At 55.0% G+C, this 21971-nt stretch overlaps 1 protein-coding gene across 6 annotated transcripts in view, besides 1 other annotated feature; it reads left to right on the forward strand.

The window, feature by feature from the left end:
* The window catches only part of SLC38A12 (solute carrier family 38 member 12), a 63255-nt gene that overhangs the window by 28557 nt on the left and 12727 nt on the right, over positions 1 to 21971 (forward strand). For all 6 annotated transcript variants that reach the window (NM_017728.4, NM_001321264.3, XM_006721963.3 and 3 more), the window contains one exon: positions 14695 to 14788. In NM_017728.4, coding sequence (NP_060198.3) covers positions 14695 to 14788 — 94 coding nt within the window. The remainder of the gene's footprint in view (positions 1 to 14694; positions 14789 to 21971) is intronic.
* Positions 7143 to 7858: an enhancer, noted in NCBI's record as "H3K4me1 hESC enhancer chr17:72808337-72809052 (GRCh37/hg19 assembly coordinates)". NCBI's record gives its function as "activates a minimal SCP1, AML or CMV promoter by ChIP-STARR-seq in naive H9 embryonic stem cells {active_cell/tissue: H9 hESC(naive)}" and the evidence as "EXISTENCE:reporter gene assay evidence [ECO:0000049][PMID:30033119]".

Consider the following 21971-nt stretch of genomic DNA (forward strand, 5'->3'; position numbering starts at 1 on the left):
CCAGGAATCCGCATTTTCAACCAGTTCTGAGGAGAATTCTGTGTGCTTTTCCCTTTGAGAAATCCTGCTGGCGCAGATCTGTCGAGGTAGTAAAAGGTCTCCCGGGGAGAGGCCTACTCTGGTCTTCCTTCAGGAACTGCTTCCCACAGCACCATGGTGGAGGCAGCTGTCAAGGGCTTCCCGTGCCTGCCTTTTGCAGGGAAAGGAGAGGGGCTGGGCAACCTACAGGTGCTGCCACATCCTGGAGTCCACACCTAAGGCACTGCCAGAGAGAAGAGGGGCTGTGCGTGCCCACTGGCTGGAGGCTGCTTTGTCACTTGCGGCTGACGGGTACCTCCCATGTCCCTAGCGGGTGGTGCTCTAGGCTTCCCCTGTAGCTTCCTCTGAAGCTGCTGGTTGGGGGCTCTAGACCCCGCAGCGTGCCAGCTCCCCGGAGAGGGCATCTCACTCTGACCCCCGACTAGGGAGGAAGCTGGGGGCTTGCTGATGTCACTTCTCAAACCCGCTTCAAGAGAGCTCATTAATCAGCCAGCTTGATATGCCATCTCCCCTCCGTCCCGCCTCCAAGGTTACTCAGTTCCCGGTCTATTTCAAGGCCAGACGTCAGCAGAAAAGGGGTGGAGCCAGCTGGGCCTGTGCAGCCCTCTCTGCAGGGCACCCGTGTTCTGGGCACCTGACTTCCCTCCCTTGCTTCCTCCAGCTCCTGCTGGAGCGTTCCCACTGCCATTGCTCTTCCTGCGCCGAGAGCATGGACCGAGGAAGGGAAGATGCCGAGAGCATCTCAAGTGATCGCCTGGCACCTCTCCTTGAGTGACGCACAAGCTCCGGGCAACAGAGGGCGATGGCACTGCCTCCTCCTGTTCCCAGGGCAGGGCGGGGGATTGACAGCTAGACTCTGGGCACCAAAAGCCATCAGATGCCAGCTGGTTACTGGAGACGCAAGCGGCCTCATGGGTTCCGAGGCCCATGGGCACACACATCACCACCAATGAATGTTCTGAGCAGTTCAATTCCTGGCAGAATCAGGTGGTTGGAGGTGTGGGTGTTTTTTCCCAAGGGAGCTGAGGGGCTAGATTGATGGCTCAGAGGGTCCCCCATCCTCTGTCACTTGCGACACAGCCCACCTGTTCCTCTCACGCTCTCTTGTTCTTAGGACCTGTGAGGATCAAGTTGACCCCTAGCCTGGCCCCAACAGTGGTAGCCCAGCCCCCAGCAGTTATGTGGCCAAGCAAGACATGCCCCGGCCTTCTCACTGGTATAAGATAGTGGTATACTGTGACCCCGGCTAACCCAGACCCAGCCTCTCCAGGCACAGCCGTCGGGGAGAATAATGCCGTGCACCCATCCCCTCCCTCCTCCTTGACATCCAGCATAAATACTAAAAGAGCTGTTTTTGTAGAGAGATCTCAAAAACTAAAACATGAGAGCCAGTAAGCCACGCCTGTAGTGCCCAGAGGAGTTTTGGTCCTTGGATCTGTTAACTCGGCCGAGGAGAGCCGGGAAAAGAGGTTTTCATGCTCTTCAGAGCTGCCAAACCCTCTATAAGAGCCCTGCCTTTCCTCACAGTCCCTATTTTCTTCCTGCCGTGGGGAAGAAAGGCTTCTCTAGAGCCTGCCCTAGAAAGTGGGCATTCCTCGCTCTGTCTCCCATCAGGTTCCCCAGGAGGGCCTAGGATGGCCTTTTCCCTCCTCTGTCCGATAGGATGGGAATGAAATTCCCTGATCTCCCCCTACCCCTGTCTATACTCCTAGTTCAAAGGATCAAAGTCCCTTTTAAAAACCTCATCATGTTAGGAGTGTCCCGCCCCACGGCTCCATGACGAGGGACAGCCTGTCACAGCCCCCTCCCTGGTGTGCACACCCAGCGCCTCACAGCAGAACTGCCCCAGGGTCATGAAGGTTTTCTGTGTCAACCCTGATTTTAGGGCAGTCTGATTGCCATCTCCCTGCTTAAAACCCCACAGAAGCTCCTCTCCAGAAAGCAAAGTCTAAACTCCCTCACGTGGCATGGTCTGCCCCAGTCTCCTGGAGCCTTCTCTCTCCCCCAGACACCCCCCCACCCCACCCCGCCAGTGTCATCCCCAGACGTCGAGTGCTGTCACGGCCTGGCCCACCACGTGCCTGTGCCTTGCTTTGGAGTCAGAGGAGCGTTCGTCTAGTCCACACTGAGCTCAGGACCCCTCTTCCCTCACCCCCTGCCATGGCATTAATTGGGCTTTTATGATTATTCCGTTCCTTGACCTCATTGTGAGCTCCTTCAGGGCACGGGCTGCGTCTCGTTCACCTTTCCGTCTAGAGCCAGCATGGCCCATCGCAGCGTGGTTGCTCCCTGAAGGTTGCAATGAGGGAAACTGCTTACAGGTGGACGCCACTGCTGGGCCTGTGGCGGGGCTTTGGCACACAACCCTCCCCTGGGCCTTAGCCTGCTGATGGCCAGAGCCCACCACAGCTAGTGGCTGCTGCTTCTGCAAGACAGACTCCATGCACAGCCAGCCCCTCCTTTCCCAGTGGGCGGGTCATCCTCTGGTCCTCGCTGCCAGGACAAGCTTCCCCTCCGCAAGTGCCAGAGCACTTCTGTCTTTGGGGGGCAGAAGTAGAAGGGAGCAGCTGGAATCCGTCCACTGCCGTGAAGTCACAGACAGCTCGTCACCCGTCTCTTTCTCCAGCACCACCAATTTGCATCTGAAATTCGGACAGTGACGGATTAGAGTAGGCGCCAGCTCCACAGACAGGTCTGTTCCTCACGTCCCACAGCTTTGCGCACACATGCCCTCTGCCCCACCCCAGCTCCTCACGTAACATCCGTAAAGCTCTCCTAGGTCAAGGTCAGAACCCATGGTCTTTTCACCTGGATGTGCAGGTGCTAGATTCCGTGGTCCTCCGTCAGGCTTGTGAAGAGCCGGGCTGTCCTCTATAAACCCTGATGGCTCATAATCATTAGGCAAATGACTGTGTGGGTTTTCCACAATATTTATCTTCCCCTTCCCCCTAAACCACAAGGGTTGCAGCTCTGGCATCAAATACTTGGAACTCTGCCCACCATCGGGTACCATCTGGCTTTTCAGCCGAGAAAGAGCCCACACAGGCAGGCAGCTTGTCCTCCAATGAGAGGCCAGGCCAAGGCCACTGGGCCAGCCCAGTCCTGCCCTGAAGGCGCCAGCCTTGAGGGGGCCACAGAGTGGATGGCAGAGGAGACAGCCCTTCCATCAGGATGTAAGCAAAGGAGACAGTTGAGTGCTCTAAAGAGGAACTGGGTGCTCTAAAGAGGGACTGGGCTTTGACTGAAGATGACCTGTTTCGAATCCCTGCCACATCTAAGCAGTGTGAGGTTTGGGACAAATGAATCCCTCTCAACCTGTTTCCTACCAAGTGGAGACAGTCACCAAGGTGCAGGTGTCTGCAGGGAGGAGCTCTCCTTGGAAGATGCCATCCTGCCTGGGCACTCTGGTAGTGCCTGGCAGTGCCAGTCCACTTGCTGGTTCTGAGCCTCGTCTTCCCTGCCCCGGGGCAGAGCCTTCTCTGGAATGACAGACATCAGTCTCAGGTGTCTCGGGAAGCTTGGAGAGCTTGGGAAGGGCTCCAGGTAGAGAAGGGTGTCATGTTCAGGGGCTGAGCTCTTGCCACCAGCATCCCCTCAGTGTGAGCTTAATACCAGCTCCCAGCTAGAAGCTTGGAGACAACAGGCGGGGTATTACCAGGTGTGTGGACTCATCCTGGTTCCAAAGGTGGGTGGAGTTTGCTGCCTGGGGGCCACAGCGTGTGTTCTGGGCAGACACAGGCTCCCTCCTGCAGCGGCCACAGTGCATGGACAGTTTTCTGGCAGGTCAAAGCCAGGCTGCGCATCCGGTGCTGCAGGAGCCCCCAGTGGGTCATGGCATTAGGTTCCCTCCCAGGTGGCACCTTCCCCCACATGCCTCCCACGCACGGGCTCCTATGAGCCGCACTCTGCCTGATAGGAAGTTTCTGACGTTCCTTTTTCACCATCAAGGGGTTAGGGAGAAGATGCTCATTTTGTTGCCTCCCAGAGCTCCGGTAAAGATAGGTTACAAACCTCAGGTCCCTAACTAAGAAATTGAGCATGTCATTTACGTAGGGGTACGGGGTATTCAGAGGAGGTGGTTCAGAAAAGGAAGTATATGGGTTTTTCTTGGCTCTGTTTCCACTTGCCTTGAAAAGGGGGAAGCAGAGGTTTGAGGAAGGGACCTGGGGAGGTTTTCGGCTGTCAAACATTCAAAGACGGTCCTTCAGCCAGTGTTTGGGGAGTAACAGCAAACCCAAGAACTGCCTTCCAGACGCCTCTGGTTGTCTCCTCACTGACAGGGCTGAGCCTCAGAGCAGCCTCCCCCAGGCTCCTCAGGAGTCGTGAGCGGTGCCACAGTGGCTCTGGACTGTCCCTCCCGTGCTGTCCAGCTCTCCCTGTCTTTCTCGGAGCCCGCACAGGGGAGTCCAGGCAGCTCTCGTCCCATGCAGCCTGCGTCACAGCTGCCATGGGATGGCCAGACTCCTGGAGCGGGTGCTGCTTCGGTTCTGTGCGGGAAGCTCTCACGCAGCCCCTTCATGCCGCCTCTTTCCCAGCCACAGGCTAACATCGCATCCTGGGAGGTGGTGTTCTGGACCTGCAATAGCTCAGGCAGGCGGTGGACCAGGGCTGCTTGAGAGCCCTGGCCCCCCAGGTCCAAGGGGGCAACGTTGCATAAAAGAGAGCATCCATCCACCTTTCCCCTGGTTTCTTTCTCCCTGAAATCATTCTTCCAGGTTCCCCAGCATCAGAGTCGAATAACATTTTCACAAGTATCTGAGCAGAGGTAGCGCAGGTGCCCCACTGTTGGCCAGTCTGTACCTGTACCGAGAATGTGCCCAGAGTTCATCTTTATCTCCGCTAGCTGGGCGAAGGGACGGGTCTTTCCTCCCGACCAGCCCCTGGTTGCTGAGCTCCTGCTGCGAGGATTTGGTTTCTTTCCTCTGCTTTCTAGCTTGGTGGCCGCTTTGGAACACGCTGCTGGGACCTTCACTTTTGGCTCATGATTGCCTCTGCCTGGAGGCTCAGTGTCCTCCCGTCTTTGAGAAGAGCTGTAGATCTTCCGTCTCTCCACTCACGCATTCAGAACGAGGCTGCCAGCTTGGCGTGAGCAGCCATGGTTTTTTACTGAAGATAATGGTGACCTAGTGACAAGGTGCATAGAGCTGGCCTCTAATGCACAGGGGGCACCCACTTCTTTAGAGTCATCTAGGCATCAACCGTCAGTTCTGTCTTCGGTCATCATGTGAATCTTTCAAACTTGGAGTCTATTCAGTAGGCATCTCCCAAGGACCTTCTAGTTGAGGGGTTTGGGAAGATCAGGGGGAGCCAAGGACAAAGGGCCATGCTAACTTGTTCAAAAAGTGCGTTATGGCAGGTGTTGGGCTAACACTAATCACTGCTGCAGAGAGGGACGTGCACTGAGGGAGGCAGCCAGCCTCCGCCTGTCCTCATCTCTCACTCTGCACCAGGTACACAGTATTTGAGAATTGGTGGGGGCAAGATTGGCACTGTCTGTCATGCTTGCGTTGGTGTCTAGAACCCGACAGCCTGTCCTGGCACAAATCCCATCCCCTCCCAGTCTCTGGGTCAGCCCATTCCTGGGCTGGTCTTCAGGAGGGGCGCTGCTCACCCTCTGCCCTGTCGAGAACATTTTAGGAAGCTCATCCTTATATAGTTCCTTGTGAAAGTGCAATCATCCGCAGAATTCGGACGACCTCCTCTAGATGGCATGGTGCCTCTCATCACAGAGTTTTGGCAAATAAGCTGTGACAGTGGTTCATGGGATTTGGTGCACACAGGCTGCCGGCATGGTTTCTGACACGGCTCCTGCTCTCTTTCTCTGGCAGACGTCTTCCGCATGGTGAATGATCCTTTGTGTTTGGTCGGGAAGAACTTGGACTGTCTTAAAGAGCATTTGTACTGTAGTTGAACTTGAGTGGAGGTCATGGAAGTCAAATAAGAATAGTACTGGGGCTGGGCACCGTGGCTTACGCCTGGAATCCTAGCACTTTGGGAGGCCAAGGAAGGCAGATTGCTTGAGCTCAGGAGTTTGAAACCAGCCTGGGCAATATGGTAAGACCCTGTCTCTACAAAAAATACAAAAATTAGCGAGGCGTGGTGGCACACGCCTGTAGTCTCAGCTATTCAAGAGGCTGAGGTGGGAGGATTGCTTGAGCCTGGGAGGTCAAGGCTGCAGTGAATCATGATCACACTACTGCACTCCAGCCTGGGCAACAGAGCGAGACCTTGTCTGAAGAAACCAAAAAAAAACAAACAAAAAAATGCATTTGGACCATAGTTGAACTTGGGTGGACCTCATGGAAGTCAAATAAGAATAGTAGAATAGTACTGGGGGCCAGGCTGGCCAGGCATGGTGGCTCAGGCCTGTAATTCCAGCATTTTGGGAGGCCAAGGCAGGCAGATCACTTGAGGTCAGGAGTTCATGACCAGCCTGGCCAACATGGTGAAATCTCATCTCTACTAAAAATACAAAAATTAGCAAAGCGTGGTGGCATATGCCTGTAGCCCCAGCTACCTGGGAGGCTGAGGCAGGACAATCACTTGAGCCTGGGAGGTGGAGGTTGCCGCGAGCCAAGATCACACCACTGCACTTTAGCCTGGGCAGCAGAGTGAGACTATCTCAAAAAAAGAAAAAAGAAAAGAATAGTATTGGGGCTAGGCATGGTGGCTCACGCCTGTAATCCTAGCACTTTGGGAGGCCAAGGCAGGAGGATCACTTGAGGCCAGGAGTTTGAGACCAGCCTGGACAATATAGTGAGACCCCCATCTCTGCAAAAAAAATAATAATAATAATAATTAATTAGCAGAATGTGGTGGCATGCATTTGTAGTCGTAGCTACTCAGGAGGCTTAGGCGGGCAGATCGCTTGAGCCTAGGAGTTCGGGGCTGCAGTGAGCTATGATCGCACCACTGCACTCCAGCCTGGGTGACAGTGCCTCAAAAAAAAAAAAATAGCATTGACTTAACATTCTTTGGTTGGAGCTCCTTGCTTGGCTTCAGGAGTGCTGCGTTCCCCCACCGAGATGTTTGGACAGGAGTGATGACTTGGTGTGTGCTGACACAGGGGGTCAGGAAGCCACGCTCATGTCTGTTGAGTGTCTTCTGTGCACACGCAGCATGCTTTGAGGGGTTCAGGAACTTGAAAGCTCTCGCAGTTAGAAGGGACATCAGGATGCAAATCCTGCCCTAGCCACGTGACCCTGAAGCCTGTGGTCCTTCAGCTGACCCACACTGCCTCAGAACTCACCTTCGTGTGGGTGAATCCCCAGATACTGTAATTCAAGTTGAGAAAATAAAAACTTCCAAACCAAAACGTTCACAGCCACTTGAGAAATAAAAATAGAATCCTTGAACGTTTCTTCACTACACTTCAAGGACGTGTTGAAAGTTCACTTCCCATTTAGGGACGGGCTCATGCTGAGTTGCCATTAACCCCAATTAACTCTTAACCCCTTGTGCCCACCAAGAGCAGCCCTGGAGTCTGGGGGATCCTTTCTTTTATCGCTTGAAATAACCTCCAGGATCAGGGAGCTCGGCTGTGCGATTTGTGCGCTCCGCCTCCACCCAGATGAGCCCCCCTGCGCCCTCCTCACTCCAAGCCCGAGTGCTCCGTGGTCAGCTCCCACAGGTCTCTGTGCGTTTAAGGTAGCCCTATTCAACCTTTCAAGGCTTGCTGCTGTACGAGAAGTGCCTCTGTCACCCCTGCTACCTTAACAGAGAAATCCCCATCAGCCCCCAGCCCTGGAGTGAGAAGGCTCAGAGTGGACCTGCTGGCCTCCCGTGTTGAAACTCCGGGAGCTGACAGCTGGAGTGAAGAGAAGGCTGCTGGTGCCTGAATTCTTGGCTCTAGAAACTCCATCTCACTACAGCGTGGAAGCCAAAACCAAAAAAGCTTCATATTTTTAGAGGGAAAGAAATAAGCACACACTTAGAGAACTGCCCACATAGTAACCAACCAGTCCACTGCCTCAGTAGTGTTCATGGGAGCCAGCGGGTCACAGTGTCACTCCCCTGCCCCGCCCCACTTCAGTTCCAAGCCTTCTTGCCACTCCAGGATGAGAACAAAAGCGTCGCCTGCGTGCTTCCCTGGTCACTGCTGGCCGCTTTGGCCACTGGCATTTGTCTCCATGGGACATTGCCCGCTTTTCAAGTCTCAGTCAGGAGGCAGGGCTGGGAGGGACCCTCCCCTGGGCATCACCAGTCAGCTGACAGCTGCCCTTCCAAGTGTTTTCTCTGTCACTTGGTGCAAAGGGTAATTGTGTGTCACTCTTTGTCCCATGGGTTAGTTTTGGCGTGGAGTTGCACAGAAAGTTCTTAGGACTTGTCCTTTGTTGCAGCCCTCACTTCAGCCCCTCATTCTCCTGTCTCCCCTTTCTTGTGGGTTTTTTGTTTTGTTTTGTTTTGTTTTTTTGAGACAGGGTCTCGCTCTGTCACCCAGGCTGGAATGCAATGGCGCAATCTCAGCTTACCACAACCTCACTACAACCTCTGCCTCCCGGGTTCAAGCCGTTCTCCTGCCTCAGCCTCCTCAGTAGCTGGGATTACAGGCACCCGCCACCACGCCTGGCTAATTTTTGTATTTTTAGTAGAGACGGGGTTTTGCCATGTTGGCCAGGCTAGTCTTGAACTCCTGACCTCAGGTGATCTGCCCGCCTTGGCCTCCCAAAGTGCTGGGATTACAGGTGTGAGCCACCATGCCTGGCCTCCTGTCTCCCCTTTCTACCAGGGAAGTAGCCCCTCTGTCTTCCTTCCCCTTTTTTGAGGGAACTGAGATGGAACTATGAGTGTTGTTGAATTTCATCAAAGTCTTAGTTCCAGTTGGAAGCTGCAGTCCGCTCCGTCTCCTTCCAGCCAGAGGAAGGATGACGACCAGCAGCACTTGGGTTTTTAGTTTTGTCTTGTAAGCATTTTGGTGGGTGGCGGTGGGTGACTATTAGGGACACTGACTCCACTGTCTCCAGAAAGTAGGGATGAAAAGGATCACTCCTTTCAAGACCTTGAGCTTCTTCACTTTAGGTGAAGATGTCTTCTAAGACACCACCCCTCTGGGAGCCAAGCAGACTGAGAGTGGTCACAGTTCACCAGAGTCTGATCCCCTTCTTTGTGGGGACCTTGGAGATGCTGGTGATGGCGGGAAGCCGGGCATCCCAGGCCCCCTTCCTGTGGGGATCTTGGAGATGCTGGGGAGCCAGGCACCCCAGGCCCCCTTCCTGTGGGGATCTTGGAGATGCCGATGATGGTGGGGAGCCGGGCACCCCAGGCCCCCTTCCTGTGGGGATCTTGGAGATGCTGGTGATAGTGGGGAGTCGGGCACCCCAGGCTCTTCCCGGGTGCACTCTCTTCTTCATGGAGGGAGGAATATCATTCTCCCTGAAGCCAGTGGGTAAACTCAGAGCCATGCTGTTTTGATTTGATGTGTGTTTCCTAAAATCATAACATGTCAATTCCTCAGCTGCGTTGGGAAGAGTTATTCCCTGACTATGTGCTGTTTTTAGGCAGAGCAGGTGACTCTTGCCCACATGCTGCTGGCTTTGCCAAGTCAGGCACTGCCCCCCGCAGGAGGCATGGAAAACGTGTACAAGGCAGGTTGGCAAGACTGGGGCTGCCCCTTCACCCACTCTAGCAGGCACTCCCCCCACCAAATGCAGTGCATCCTACAAAGCTTTTGTGAGCATCCCACGTTTGAGAGCCTTCCTAGGTGCTGCGACAAACAAGGATGCAGTCCTTGCCCTCAAGGGGGTTACACTCTGCTGGGGACACAAAATCAACCCAAGAGAAAGCAGCGGTTCAGAGCCTACTGGAATGAAGTCAGGTGGTATCAACTGTGTGTTGGTAATTCAGTCAAGAGCCCCCAGGGAGGATTAAAATAACTTGTAGAGGAGATTGGCACTTGAGCAGGGCTCAGAAGGTCACAGGGGAAGATTCTTTGCCAGCAGGAGGGTGAAGGCATGAGGTTGAAAATTTGAGGACGGGGTGTCAGAGAGGGGGACCTTCTCCCTCTGCCGCTTTCTGGCTGTGTCACTGAACCTCTCCAGCCCCCCAGTTTCCTCATCAGTAAGATGAGGGCATCGTCACCTGCACCAGTGACCTTGCAGCGGGCCATGAGCATGAAATGAAACCATGTGTGTTAGCGCTTGGCAGAGTGTGGAGGGGCTGCAGCTTGGGCAGTGATGTTATCACAGGGCAGTTTTGATAGCACAGGGCAGGGCGGATCAAAGGACCAGTGGCTGGGACAATGCGGCCTTGGGATTGGCTGTGACAGATCTGCAGGCAGAGGGTGGGACCCGGAGACTGTACAAGGTGTTAAACAGGGTATTTAATTTGAGATTGGCACCAAGTTTAAAATTTCATTTTGTTTCTCTGACCAGCTAAATGTGCAGAGAAATTTGGGGATGGGGAGATAAGTATCTACCCGCTTTACTTTTGTGCTCTAATGTTGACGCCCTCACTCACACGCTCCGTGGTGCGGTTAAAGGACATAACACATTGCCAGTCCTGGGCTCCTTTTGCATATGACACAGAAGCACGCAGAGTCGGAGCCTTTCTTCTGTAAGTGCCATGTGCTGTAGGGTTAGAACTGGAGAGGAGGGAGGCAGGTGGTGGACACGGCACAGCCTCAGCAGGCGTGAGTTGAGCGTTCTTGGTTTAAAGATCCATTCTCGGAAGTAGCACAGCATTTGTTTCTCCCATTCCATGGCTGGGCAGCTGACTCTTCAGTCTGTTCCAAACCACTCCAAGAGGAAAGTGGAGGCTCCAGTTAGTGACTGAGCCCTTGGTACCCAGATGCCAGGCTGCTCAAACAGGCACAAGTGTCAGTACTTCCGGGTCCTCAGCAAAGCCACGTCCTGTCCAGGAAATCTCCAGGCACAGCCCACAACAGGCCCCCGTGAGGCTGCAGGGTCCCTTCCCCACATCTTCGAGTCACTGATTCTGAAGAGTAGATTTCCTTCCTGTCCAGAGGACAGAAGGCTGGGCTTGAGATTAGGCACTCTCTTTACTCCCTACTGTGCTTAAATCTCATTTCTGGTGGCATCTAGAGAAACGGCTCCTCCCTGTCAGCCCCATCCTTAATGCATGCGTAGGACTGGGCTCTGTCCTGTTGGGGGTGCTATTGGGAGCCTTGCCTTGCAAGAGGGCACTTCTGGCCTGGGAGAGAACACACATCTGTGGTTTGAAGCCCCCCAGTTTGTGGTCATCTGTGATAGCAGCCCCAGGAACCTCATGTAGAGAGCAAGGAAAGAGTCAGAGATTGCTGGAAGTCTGGAGCCTGGGCAACTGGAGGTGGGCAGCGCATGTAAGGGACACAGGAGGACAGGCAGCCCTGTTGAGCTGTAGACTGCAGAACGTTCTAAAAGAGCTGTGGCTGAGCATTGCCTGCAGTGCCCTGGGAATGTTAGCCTCCTTGTCTCCATCAAGACTTCAGCAAGGCTGCTGTGGGGCCCCTGGTGTTATCTAAACTCACTGACCCAAAAAGAAAGAGGATCTGAACAGACCCATTTGTACTCTCCTGGGTCCGTCCCGGACTTTATTCCCCATGACCAGTTTGAAGATGTTATTAGAAATCAGAGTTTTCTTTTTTCGTTTTTTTTTGTTTTTTTTTAGAAATGTGCTTGGCTGCAGCGACTCGTGTCTCTGCCTCCTGTAATGAGTTGGGCTACAAGAGTCCTTGAGCAGAGACTGAGTTTGAACTGATCAATGGCATTTGGGGGTTGGAAAATTGCTCAGGAGCCAGCTAATTTATAATGTCATATGGGCTAGACTGGAAGACCCAAGAGAGTAGGCTGTCTCTTTTGGCTTTTTATCTCTCCTTTTTTTAAAAAGGAAAGAAAACACAAAGTGCCACGCTTGGCTGTTGAGCATTCAGAGATGGACACTGCCCCTGCTAGACCATCTGGAGACAGGGGCTGTTCCTTCTCCCGCCCCCGTCCCTCCCCAAGACCTCAGCGGCCACACCGTGGCGTGGCAGCGCATGCCATTGCCTCTGTCCTCATCCTTTGTCACTCCGGATGCCTGCTCCTGCAGTTGCTGAGTTCTGGCTCTAACTAATTTGCAGAGGACACCTGTTCCTTAATTAGCCCCAGCTCGCAGTCTGTGTCTTCATCTGGGTGCTCTCTGATGTGTGAGCTCGCAGTCCTATGGAAGGGCTGCTGTTTGGCAGTCTGTGCGTGTTTGCTGTGACTAAGTGGGCCCTGAGCCTTCCCAAGCGTTATGGTCGGTCTGTACTCCTGAGCATGAAACGAAAAAGAAGCCACATTCCAACCATCATCCATCTATGGACGTTGCAGCCATTGGCCAGATCTTCCAGAAGAGTCCTTCATTGCCAGTTCCCATGCTGAGTACAGACCTGCTGTCCCCAGAACTGGGTCTGAGAACACTAAGCGGATATGAACCCTCGTTTCGACTCCTCTAGATTCATATTCCTGGTCACTCAAGTGGCACCTCACACATACCACTTACAATACCTTTCAGAGGTACATCTGATTAAATAGAGGGATGCTGTCAGTGGGCTGGGATTCATCCATACAGGGTTTTACAGAATGGAGCCTTCTGTGTCCTAGGATCTTGACAAGCATCTGCCGAGGACAGGAACAGAGATGGACAGGGCCCCTGGAGGACAGGACCCAGGCAGCCTGCAGGAGCATTCCCTGCCTGCCCCTGGGGGTGGTTCTGCTGTCCGTCTATTTTTATGGTGTAAAACCTTCTAAAAACCAGTCTTTAGGTCTCTGAGATGAGATCTGACCTCCCACATAAGCCACCCCCAAGATCTCCAGCCCCCACAGCTGGAGGACCATAATTTCAGCGGGAAGTCAGAGGCGAACTACCCAAACACCCGGGCACACCAGGAGTCCAGTTTCCAGCAGACCACAGTTACTTGGAAACATTTGTGGCAGGTGGCTCTGTGTTTATGCATTCTTCTACCTGACATCTCCCTCTTCATCCTTCAAAAGAGAAATTCATCAGTGGAAAGTTTCCCTGAAGTGGTAATTTTCCTAAATGACTTACTGATGGTGCTGCGTACAGACCTGCTCCGCCAGAGTCAACGTTCTGCATGCGCTACCGTGTCCCCAGCTCCTCTCCCTGGGCTGAGGGGACGGCGGAGGCTGTCCACTGCTTTTGTAAGGAGAGCCCTTTCCTCTGCCTTCCCCTGCCCAGCCCCATCCCCCAAGCCTGATAGAAAGAAAGACTTCTTTCCCCTCTCCTGAGTGGAAGCAGGGCCAGTTCTGAGGCCCCCAGCAGAAAGCTGCTCTTTCCAAAGCCCTCCATGCCTGGTGGCTGCCAGGTCGCCTTCTCTAGCCCAGCTAATTAGAGCCTTTCCTTAAGCGGCACTTCAGTCCTCCGCATCACTCATCCTTACAGTGATAATGGACTTGGATAAGAGGTCACAGCTTCTCCCACATCCTGCCCTCCTTATGGCCAGAGGTGGGGGGCGGGGGGCGGGACAGGCTCAGCTCCTCCTTCTGCGGGGCTCCTACCTGTCAGTCACAGGGGCTGGCCGAGGGCTGAGCAGCTGTGATGGATTCACCCAGATGACAGGCCAGAGCCCGACTCCCCAAGTGGGCCCGCTCCCCACATTCGTTCAGGCTTCCGAGCCGCCTGCCGCATCTCTGGTGAGCGTCATTAGCATTAACGTGATAAAATGGCACTGTGTAAATGTTAATAAGGTCTGATGCCTCACACTGCTTCCGAGTGGCAGATTGGAAATGGTACCATCATCTTAACTGCAATGAGCAGCTCTTAATTCCTCTACTCCCTGAGCAACCAATTTGGCATGGAAATCCTAACCTTCCCCACACTCCAGTCTCTGCTCTGTCACATTTACCCCCATTTTCCTTTGCAAAGAAGGTTCCCATTTCCCACAGACCAGTTTTCTGAGACAGAGTTTGACTTTTGTTTTTTGAGTCAACACTTTCCCCTGTTCTCCAAAGAGAAATGAGAGGACCCATGCTGACCAGCACCCGCTTCTCTGCCTGGGTCCCATCCTCAGCCCAGAACTTCTTTGCCCTGGTTTTCCTAGATGCAGCTCCTTTCCTTGGTCATCCCGGGTACTTCCGAGGGGCCTGCCCTGGAAGCCAGGGGCTCTCGTTCTCCAGGCTTCTCCTCTCGAAGTCAAAAACGTGGCCCATGCACATCCCGATCACTCCTCTCCAAGCCCGTCAGAAGAGGTGTCCTCTCCTGCGAGGCTTCGTCAGGGCTCCTGGGGTCCCTCCCCACTGTGTCCTTTCTTCGCAGTAAACTAAGAGTCAGAGACATGGCTGGTGCTTCTTTTGGATCCTTTTTGCCATTATGTCTCTAGCCCATGCTCATGGGCAGTTCGAGGGTGGGCACATCATGGATCTTCAATCTGTGTTTGCTGAAGAGAGCAGGACGCATGGGGTCCCTGGAATGACACCTGGGCCTTGCCTAGGAGGCTCAGCATTGTCGGAACAGTACATGTGAGCAGCAGCAGGGAAGCATGGCTCTGGAGCTTTTGTTCCACCCCTGGCACTGGCACTTACCCAAGGTGACCCCAGGGAGCCTCTGCCAGTCCAGGTGTGCCCAAGTCAGGCCCGGCCTTAGCTATGGGCGGAGGCCACGTGAGCAGCAGCGTCTTCCGTGTGCAGACAGTCTGCTGGTGCGGCCTGCACCCTCCTCACTCTTGTTTCCATCCCCCAGGCGATCTTCACTCTCCTCCTCGGACCGTTCACCTTCTTTGACGTCCAGAAGACCAAGTACCTGCAGATCCTGACCTCTCTGATGAGATGGATCGGTGAGTCTGAGAAACAGCTCGAGTCTCTGCGCTTTCTCCTCTCGTCCCTTCCCTCTCCTTTCATGAGAGGCCGTGCAGGGCCCCCAGCCGTAGCTGGAGTGTGGTGGTGGTTTCCATTGACTCAGGCCTGTCTGGTCCTCCCACCTTTCCAAAGGATAAGGAGGGGGCTGAATACTCAGCTTGCCTTTTACTGCTGGGGAAATTTAACACCAAAACAAGATGATTGTTTCGAGGTCACATAGTGTGGATGGAGCTGGGGCTAGAGCCCAGGATTGTTCATTCTAGGACCAGCTTCTTTCTCATACAACCATGCTGGGTGCCCACTGACCCAGAGGCTGGCAGGGGGGCTCCCAAAGGCCTGGGTTGGGCTGTGCCCTGCAGGGCACGAGAGCGGCGCGGCTCTGCGTTCTCATGAGTGTGCTATGTGGCATAACCATAAAAGCCAGCGGGCCATGGCAGCAGCCACTCTCTGCCTCTGGGTCTCTGGCCACCAGGGCATGAAAAGACACTCCCTCCACAGCATCTTCTAACCAACGGACACTGTGCTGAGCATGAGTGCCATTGTCCTCAGCTGCGGTCTGGGCGTCTGTTCCCCCAAACAGGTTGGTGGTTGGGGGCTGGTCTACTTCCGCCACACCATCCTGCCAGCCACCTCTGGGAAAGGGCCAGCTGCCGATCCACCTGGACGGAGGACAGGAGCGGGTGGGGCCCTCTGTGGCCAGCACGGCTTTGGGCGTCTGTTGGACCCCTCTTCTGCTCAATCTAAAAACAAAGAAGGCTGTTGCTGTTCTGAGAGAGGGGCCTGGACAGAGTGGGTGTGTCCAGGCTCCAGGAGCTTGCCTGCCTCTCAGCACAGAAGCACTTGGCTCTAGAGGAGCCAAGGCTGGGGCTCCTCCTTCCTGACCACCTTCCCCAGCCCCGTTTCCCACTGTGCTCGCCCATTCTACCCTCATCCAGACTCTGGGGGTGCACGCTGATCCTGATTCCATGCCAGGACTCAGCAGCGGGTCATGGTCGCCGAGGACACTTTCTGATCTAAATGACTTCCAGCAGCTTGACATCTGCAATTCCCCTGGTTCCCCAGTCTCAGGATTATGAGATGTCAGTCTAAGGAGCCTCTGTACACGGCAGTCTTGGCATCTTTAGTTGGAAGGGGCCACAGCAGTCAGGTAGCCCCGCCTCGCCCCTCTGGGAGCAGGCTGTACAGCACAGGGGACAGGGTGGCCTCCGGGGCCCAGAGCTCACGACTGGATGAGGCTCCCACTCCACTCTGAGGGGTTGTATGTCAGTGCTGGAAAGTTTTTCCTTGCCTTGAGCCATGCTCACCAGCCTGTAACTTCTTTGCCCTCTTGGTTTGTCCTTGCAAGGAGATGAGAGCAGGATGGAGATGAGTTGTGAGGCCCCCACAGGGGCACATCATCTGGGCCTAGCCCGTCCTTGGGCATCAAGCTGACACGAGGGAGCGGGAGGACACCTGTCCATCCCTAGACAGGGCGGAAGTCTGCATCTGCCCCATTCAGTCTGTGTGGTCACATACTCACCAGTGAGTGCCGTTCCCAAATTGCACTCACAAGTTCCAAAGCCCCAGGTTAAATTAACGTGACTACCTGGGGGAAGATGGGAGTTGTTACTTAGAACCTGGGGATCCCACCAGCTCCAAGGAATGGATTTAGAATGGAGCCTCCCTGGGTGCCAGGAGGGATTGTGTCCAGAAGTCAGAGTCAGCAGGGATCAGAAACACCAGGGCTCAGCCGTCCACCCTTCCTATTTCTCTGCTTATATGAAGTATTTGAGAGCTCTGGGTAAGGCCGAGTGGGTAAGACCTGGTGGTCTCAGAAGAAGGAGTTTTCTCAGTAAAGCAGGATTTAGAGAAAACCGTTCTCCCTCCTTGCCTTCCTGGCCTAAGTCTGGTGCTCCAGCTCCTGTGGCTCCCTGCAGCCACATCTGTAGCCCCAAAGTCTGGCCCCTACCCTGTGTGGGACTGGCTGCACTTGACCCGCCCCTCAGCACTGGGGAGGGGGAAAGGGCCCCGTGGGCACTGGCATGGAGAAAGCTGAGCTGATTCCCGTCCCTTCCCCTCATCCAGGAGGACAGGAACAGGCTGGGGAGAGGTGGAGGGGGACGTTCCTGCTTTAGCCGGCATGGGGATGACACCCAGGATAGTGACAGTTAATGGCTTCCGAAGACCCCTGCACTTGTTTAGGGTGACAGATTCCTCCCCGTGTCTGGGGAGCAATACATTTGTTGAAAGGGAAAAGATTGTAAAAAGGAGAAGAGGAGGCTGAGGGCAAATAAAGAGCGATTGTCTCAGAGCAGGAGACCAGCTGTATCCCTGCATCAGTCAGAGGAGAAGCCAAATTCTGTGGCCAGCAGGGCCCCGGGGTCCTGGAAGGCGTCTGGGGACAGCCCGGGCCCCTTGCCATTCTGCTGTTGGAGACCCTGCTTCCCCAGAGTCAGGCTCACCGTAGACTTGGCTTTAGAAAATCAACTCCTGTTTCCCCCAGCCCCTTCCCACCCCCAGGTCTCCCACCCTGAGGCTCCCGGGGCCCTGCAGTGCTGCGGAGCAGGTGACAGTGGCCTCGAGAGAGGCTTTTGGCAGCATCAGGAGCCGGAGGTGGAGACCAGCTCGGGAAGGTCGACAGCACTTGTTTTTTTGGTGGTGACATTGTTGTCTTAGCAAGTCATCTGCCTCTTTTCCTTTTGATCCAAGAGATAATCAAATGTCAGGAGCCTCTCAGGCGAACCTTTTCTCCAGAATGCTGCTGGGGGCGACAGCAAAGGCAGTGATTTTTTCTCCATGAGAGACTCAGACCTCTGGGATTAAAAAGCAAACCTTTCTGTGGCACAGCCCTCTCGCCAGAAGAAAAATTACCCAGTTAAGTAAACTCTGAAGCGCAGCTGGGTCTAGGGTTCCATTCCCCAGCAGCCAGCACTGGAACCAGCGGGGTATTTTTCTTCCCAGTGCTGGCGGAAGGTGTGTCCCCCTCCCAGCCCCGGGCAGCAGCGTGGCTCAGGAGGGGACGAAGGGGATGGAGGTCCCCCTGGAGCCACCAAACAAAACAAAACTGGCAGCCCCTTTTGGGGGAGGGACCCCACGAGGGTTTCTCGCCTCTGGGCCAAGCTCACCCCAGGCAGTTTTTCGAGAACCACCCTAAAGGCAGTGACCTCAAAAGCCTATTTGTCCTCTCAAGTCTGTGCCAAGTTGTCAGTTCGCCACAAACTCCCTTTTCATTCTGTCTTAAAAGCAGCTGTGTGACCGAGTCCCACACACCCCACCCTCCTTCCCACACTCGCGCCGCACCCCTTCCTCTCCCCTCTCCCCAGATGAGGCCATGCTTTCCCAATAACCAAGTGGGGAGCTCGGGGTTGGAAATAAGCTGGCTTGGGTTCCAGGAAGACAAAGGGGAAGAATAAGCACCAAAGGGACCGGAAAATCATAAATAAATGTGCTGAGCCGGAAACTTTCTTGGGCTTAATTAGGAATTAGTTCTGCCATCTGTTGAAATGAGGCCGGAGGAGACTGCAGGCCCTGGAGCTGTGCTGAGGAGCCTTCGGGCCAGCTCCTCCAAGGGCCTCTGCTCTGCCCTCATTCCCTTTAGTAGCCTCGGAAGCCCCATCGTTCTGCCAGAATGGCACTGAAAGGGTTAAATGGCCTTTGTAAATAGCCACTTGTCCAGGAAAACTCAAAGCATGGATGACATGTGACAGTGTCTGTTGATTTCTTGTGCTCCCCAAATAAGTTCTGGGGAGACTGGGCTGGTCAGTGTGGGATGCCTGGGTGGCAGATACCTCTGAATCCACATGGGGAAGGAAGGTCTTGGTGTGCTGTCCCCAGCAGTGAGGCTGTTGTTCAGGCCCTGGCAGACATGGCTGGCTCACCCCCAGGTGGCCACCGCAGATTCCTGAGCAATCAGGTCTCCGGTGGCTGCTCTGTGCCAGGTGGCGCACCTACTGGAGGTCACGCCGGACCTCCTTGCCTTGTTCCCCCCGTGTGGGACAGGCGGCATTTACTCCCAAGGTGCACAGTTGGATCGAGGCTTCTCCGCCAAGTTCCTTGTCTGTGCGGTGGCAGCGAGGCCTTGAATGGGGCCGTGTTGTTAGCGCAGCACCTGCACAGTGTGCAGAGGGGGCCACGGTGAGCATGACCGTCTTCAGCATCATCTTGGTCAGCTGCCACATCCCAAGAGTGGCCTCAAGATGAGCCTCTCTGGGGGCTGGCCATGAGACTGGGGACATGACCTCAGCTACCTCAAGAGAGCAGGCCCTGGGTGTCCACACTGGTGTCACGGTGAGATCTAGGAGCACCCAGGTTTGCTCTGGGCAGCCTCTCTGTTGCCACATCCCAGCTGTGGTGCGTGGAGAGGAGGCCTCTCTGCTCCGCCGCCCCCAGCATCTACTCCCACCCACTTTGAGGAAGCTCTGAGCTGGGAGAATGAAAGGCAGGCTCATCTCACAGAGGGGCAGGGGCTCTAGCCTCTGCCAGCCACAGGTAGACCAGGGATGCTGAGGGGAGACGCAGCACAGAGGATGTTCTTTGTGCTCACAGGCCCAGCGCAGGGACTTCAGATCCCAAATCTGAGCACCTAAGCCGATGGCGGGAGGCTGCCCCTGCCCCGCCGCAGGGAGCTCTCGGGCTGAAGTATTGGCAGCTTCATTACTTCAGTCCCATTACCAACTTTCACCGACAGATGCCTGCAGGCGCCTCCCATGAACAGCTGGCTTGGTGCGGGGCGCCCCATTTGGGGTTATTAAAATCCGGATTCTTTTTAACAAAGGCTGCTCTGGAGTGCCACAGCCCTCCTCGGGCCTGGGCTGCCGAGGACCGCAGGGTTCCCTTCCCTCTGATTGTGTATGCGGAGCAGACGCTGCACACGCTCTTTTTGCATCTGTGTTCCCCTCAAAGTGGGTCAGACACCGTCCTCTTCAGGCGTTTGTGGATGAACTTGAGCCTGCCTCATGAAGTTCTCGGCCCCACTCTCTCCACCTCCCTCAGCAACTGCCCCAGATTTGTTTTCCAAGCCGACAGGGAGAGGTGGGACATGGTGGTGGTGGCAGGTGAGGCCCCCAAGAGGAAGCCATCACCTGGGGACATGAGGCTTTCTGGTGTTTACCTGTCTCCAAACCCATGACTGATCCCTGCAGACAGCCTCCCAGTGGGACTGCGCTGATCCATCACCACCGGCAGCCAGGGGTCTCGTGTCTGGGCCATCTGGTGCCCACTGCTGCCAGCTTGGTGTTGGAATTCCTCCAACCACTCAACTAGTGCCTCTCAGAGGTCCCAGAAGGACCCCCCAAAATGCCCCCTGTGCCTCCATCCAGACAGCCTCATGTGCCAGCACCACGCCACCCTGCTGTCAGCAGCCCTGCACGGCCCAGGTCTCTGCGGCAGCCCTGCCCACCCTCCAACTGGGCCACTGTCCAGGGCTCTCCTGGGCTGTTCCGTGTCCAGTCATGACTGGTTACACTCCCAGTGGAGGGAATCTTGAAAAACCTTTTGTATATGTTTCATTTTGGTCTTAATTTTATTCTTGGTTTTCTAGAAGTTCTTTTTGCAAATGCACAGAGGCCCATTTATAGGAGAGGAACCCAGTGTTTCTGTTTTAAGGTAAAGTGGGCAGGTAATGAACGCTTGCTGGCAAACAGCCAGCCATGTGCCGCCAAATGACTCCCTTCCTTAGCATCAGTCAGGACTGACCTGAGAGTTCACTTGGCCCGAGCAAAGGGTGTTGCCCTTGCAGCCGTACCTCTCCTCTAGCAGCCTTTGTTATCAGCTCTGATCTGTGTACGGCCGAGATGGGCAGATCCAGCTACCAGACAAAGACTCCTGCAGTGCCCAGGAGGTCGGTGGCCCAGCTGTCCGGGCACTGACAAGGCAAGGAAACTAAGTCCCAGATCACTCGTGGTTGTGGGTCGAGTCTGACCCGACGATGGTGATGGTCATGGCCTCTGTGCAGAACTGGGCTTCACGTGGGAGGGTGAGTCTTAACCTTGCAGCAAGTCAGGCCGTCATATACATCTGCAGGGCTGCCACGGCCCACAGCAACCCTGGAGCTCCAGAGTTACGTTCAGACCCAGGAGGGGCCACCCATCCTTGCTCGGTGCCACCTTTCATCTTCCTCACTCTCTCCTTCCCGTCTCTCTCTGCATCTAGCTGGCTGCTGGAGAGGAAAGGGCTGAGCAGCCTGCAGGAAAGGTGACAGCGCCTGAAATTTTATGTTTCCAATCTCCAGGAAGGAGATTAGTCAGCCAGCAGCCAGAGGCCCTGCCTTCCCAATGATTGCACACTGAGCTTGCTCTGACAACTTAAGAATGAAAAATTGAGACCCTGCCCTCCCAGGCGCCACCTGCCAGGCTCCGAGGGTGTGGGGAAGTGGAAGGATGAAAGGCCAGAGCCCGTGATTTCTGACGGAAGGCTTGATTGCTCCAGAGGCTCAGACACTTGCCCTTCACCAGGCTGCTGCCACCTCCTGCCACCCTGGGGAGAGGGGGACTCTGCTCTCAGTCCTTTGGGCTAAATAATTTAGCCACAGGATAGAACCTCGTCCTATAAAGCTGCTTGTTTCAGCACTCTCCTCTTCTCCCGGGGTGAGGAGTGAACGAAGCTAGAATCCTCCAGAAAGCACAGAAGCTGGCCCACATGGGAAGATCAGTTGGCTTTAGATTCCCTCCTTTCAGCAGAAACCCAAGTGCATGGTGGGTGAGTTGCTAGGCAAAGCTGGCATATGCTGGATGCCCTACAGGTCTGGAATGAAAACCAGACCCAGGGCCAAGATGCTTTTGGTGCCTGGCACATCCCTGTGGGGGCCTCCTGTAGTCCCCAAAGGGAGCTCCTCCCAGGCAGAGCCCTCACCCACACCACAGCCCAAGTGTAGGCAGGTGCCACCCCAGGAAGGATGGGCCAGCTCAGGCTCCAAAGACCCTGTCTCCTTTAGCCCCTCCCAGAGAGGGCACACACCTGGAGGCCCCAGAGGTGGGGTAGTGGGGATTGCCTGGCCTTGAGGGGCCTTAAAAGATGCTGGCGGTGGTGGGGGTAGGCGGGGGCGTAAGAGGAGGAACTGAGGGTCACTCTGGTTGGCAGAGCAGGGGTGAGCAGCCTGTTGGGGTCCTACTTGCCCTCCTCCCCATCCCTGACCCCCAGAGCCCCAAAGGTTTGCTGAGGCCAGTGATAAGGTGTTCCTGGGAA

Source organism: Homo sapiens, chromosome 17, assembly GCF_000001405.40.
Source record: "Homo sapiens chromosome 17, GRCh38.p14 Primary Assembly".
Classification (NCBI taxonomy): Eukaryota; Metazoa; Chordata; class Mammalia; order Primates; family Hominidae; genus Homo; species Homo sapiens.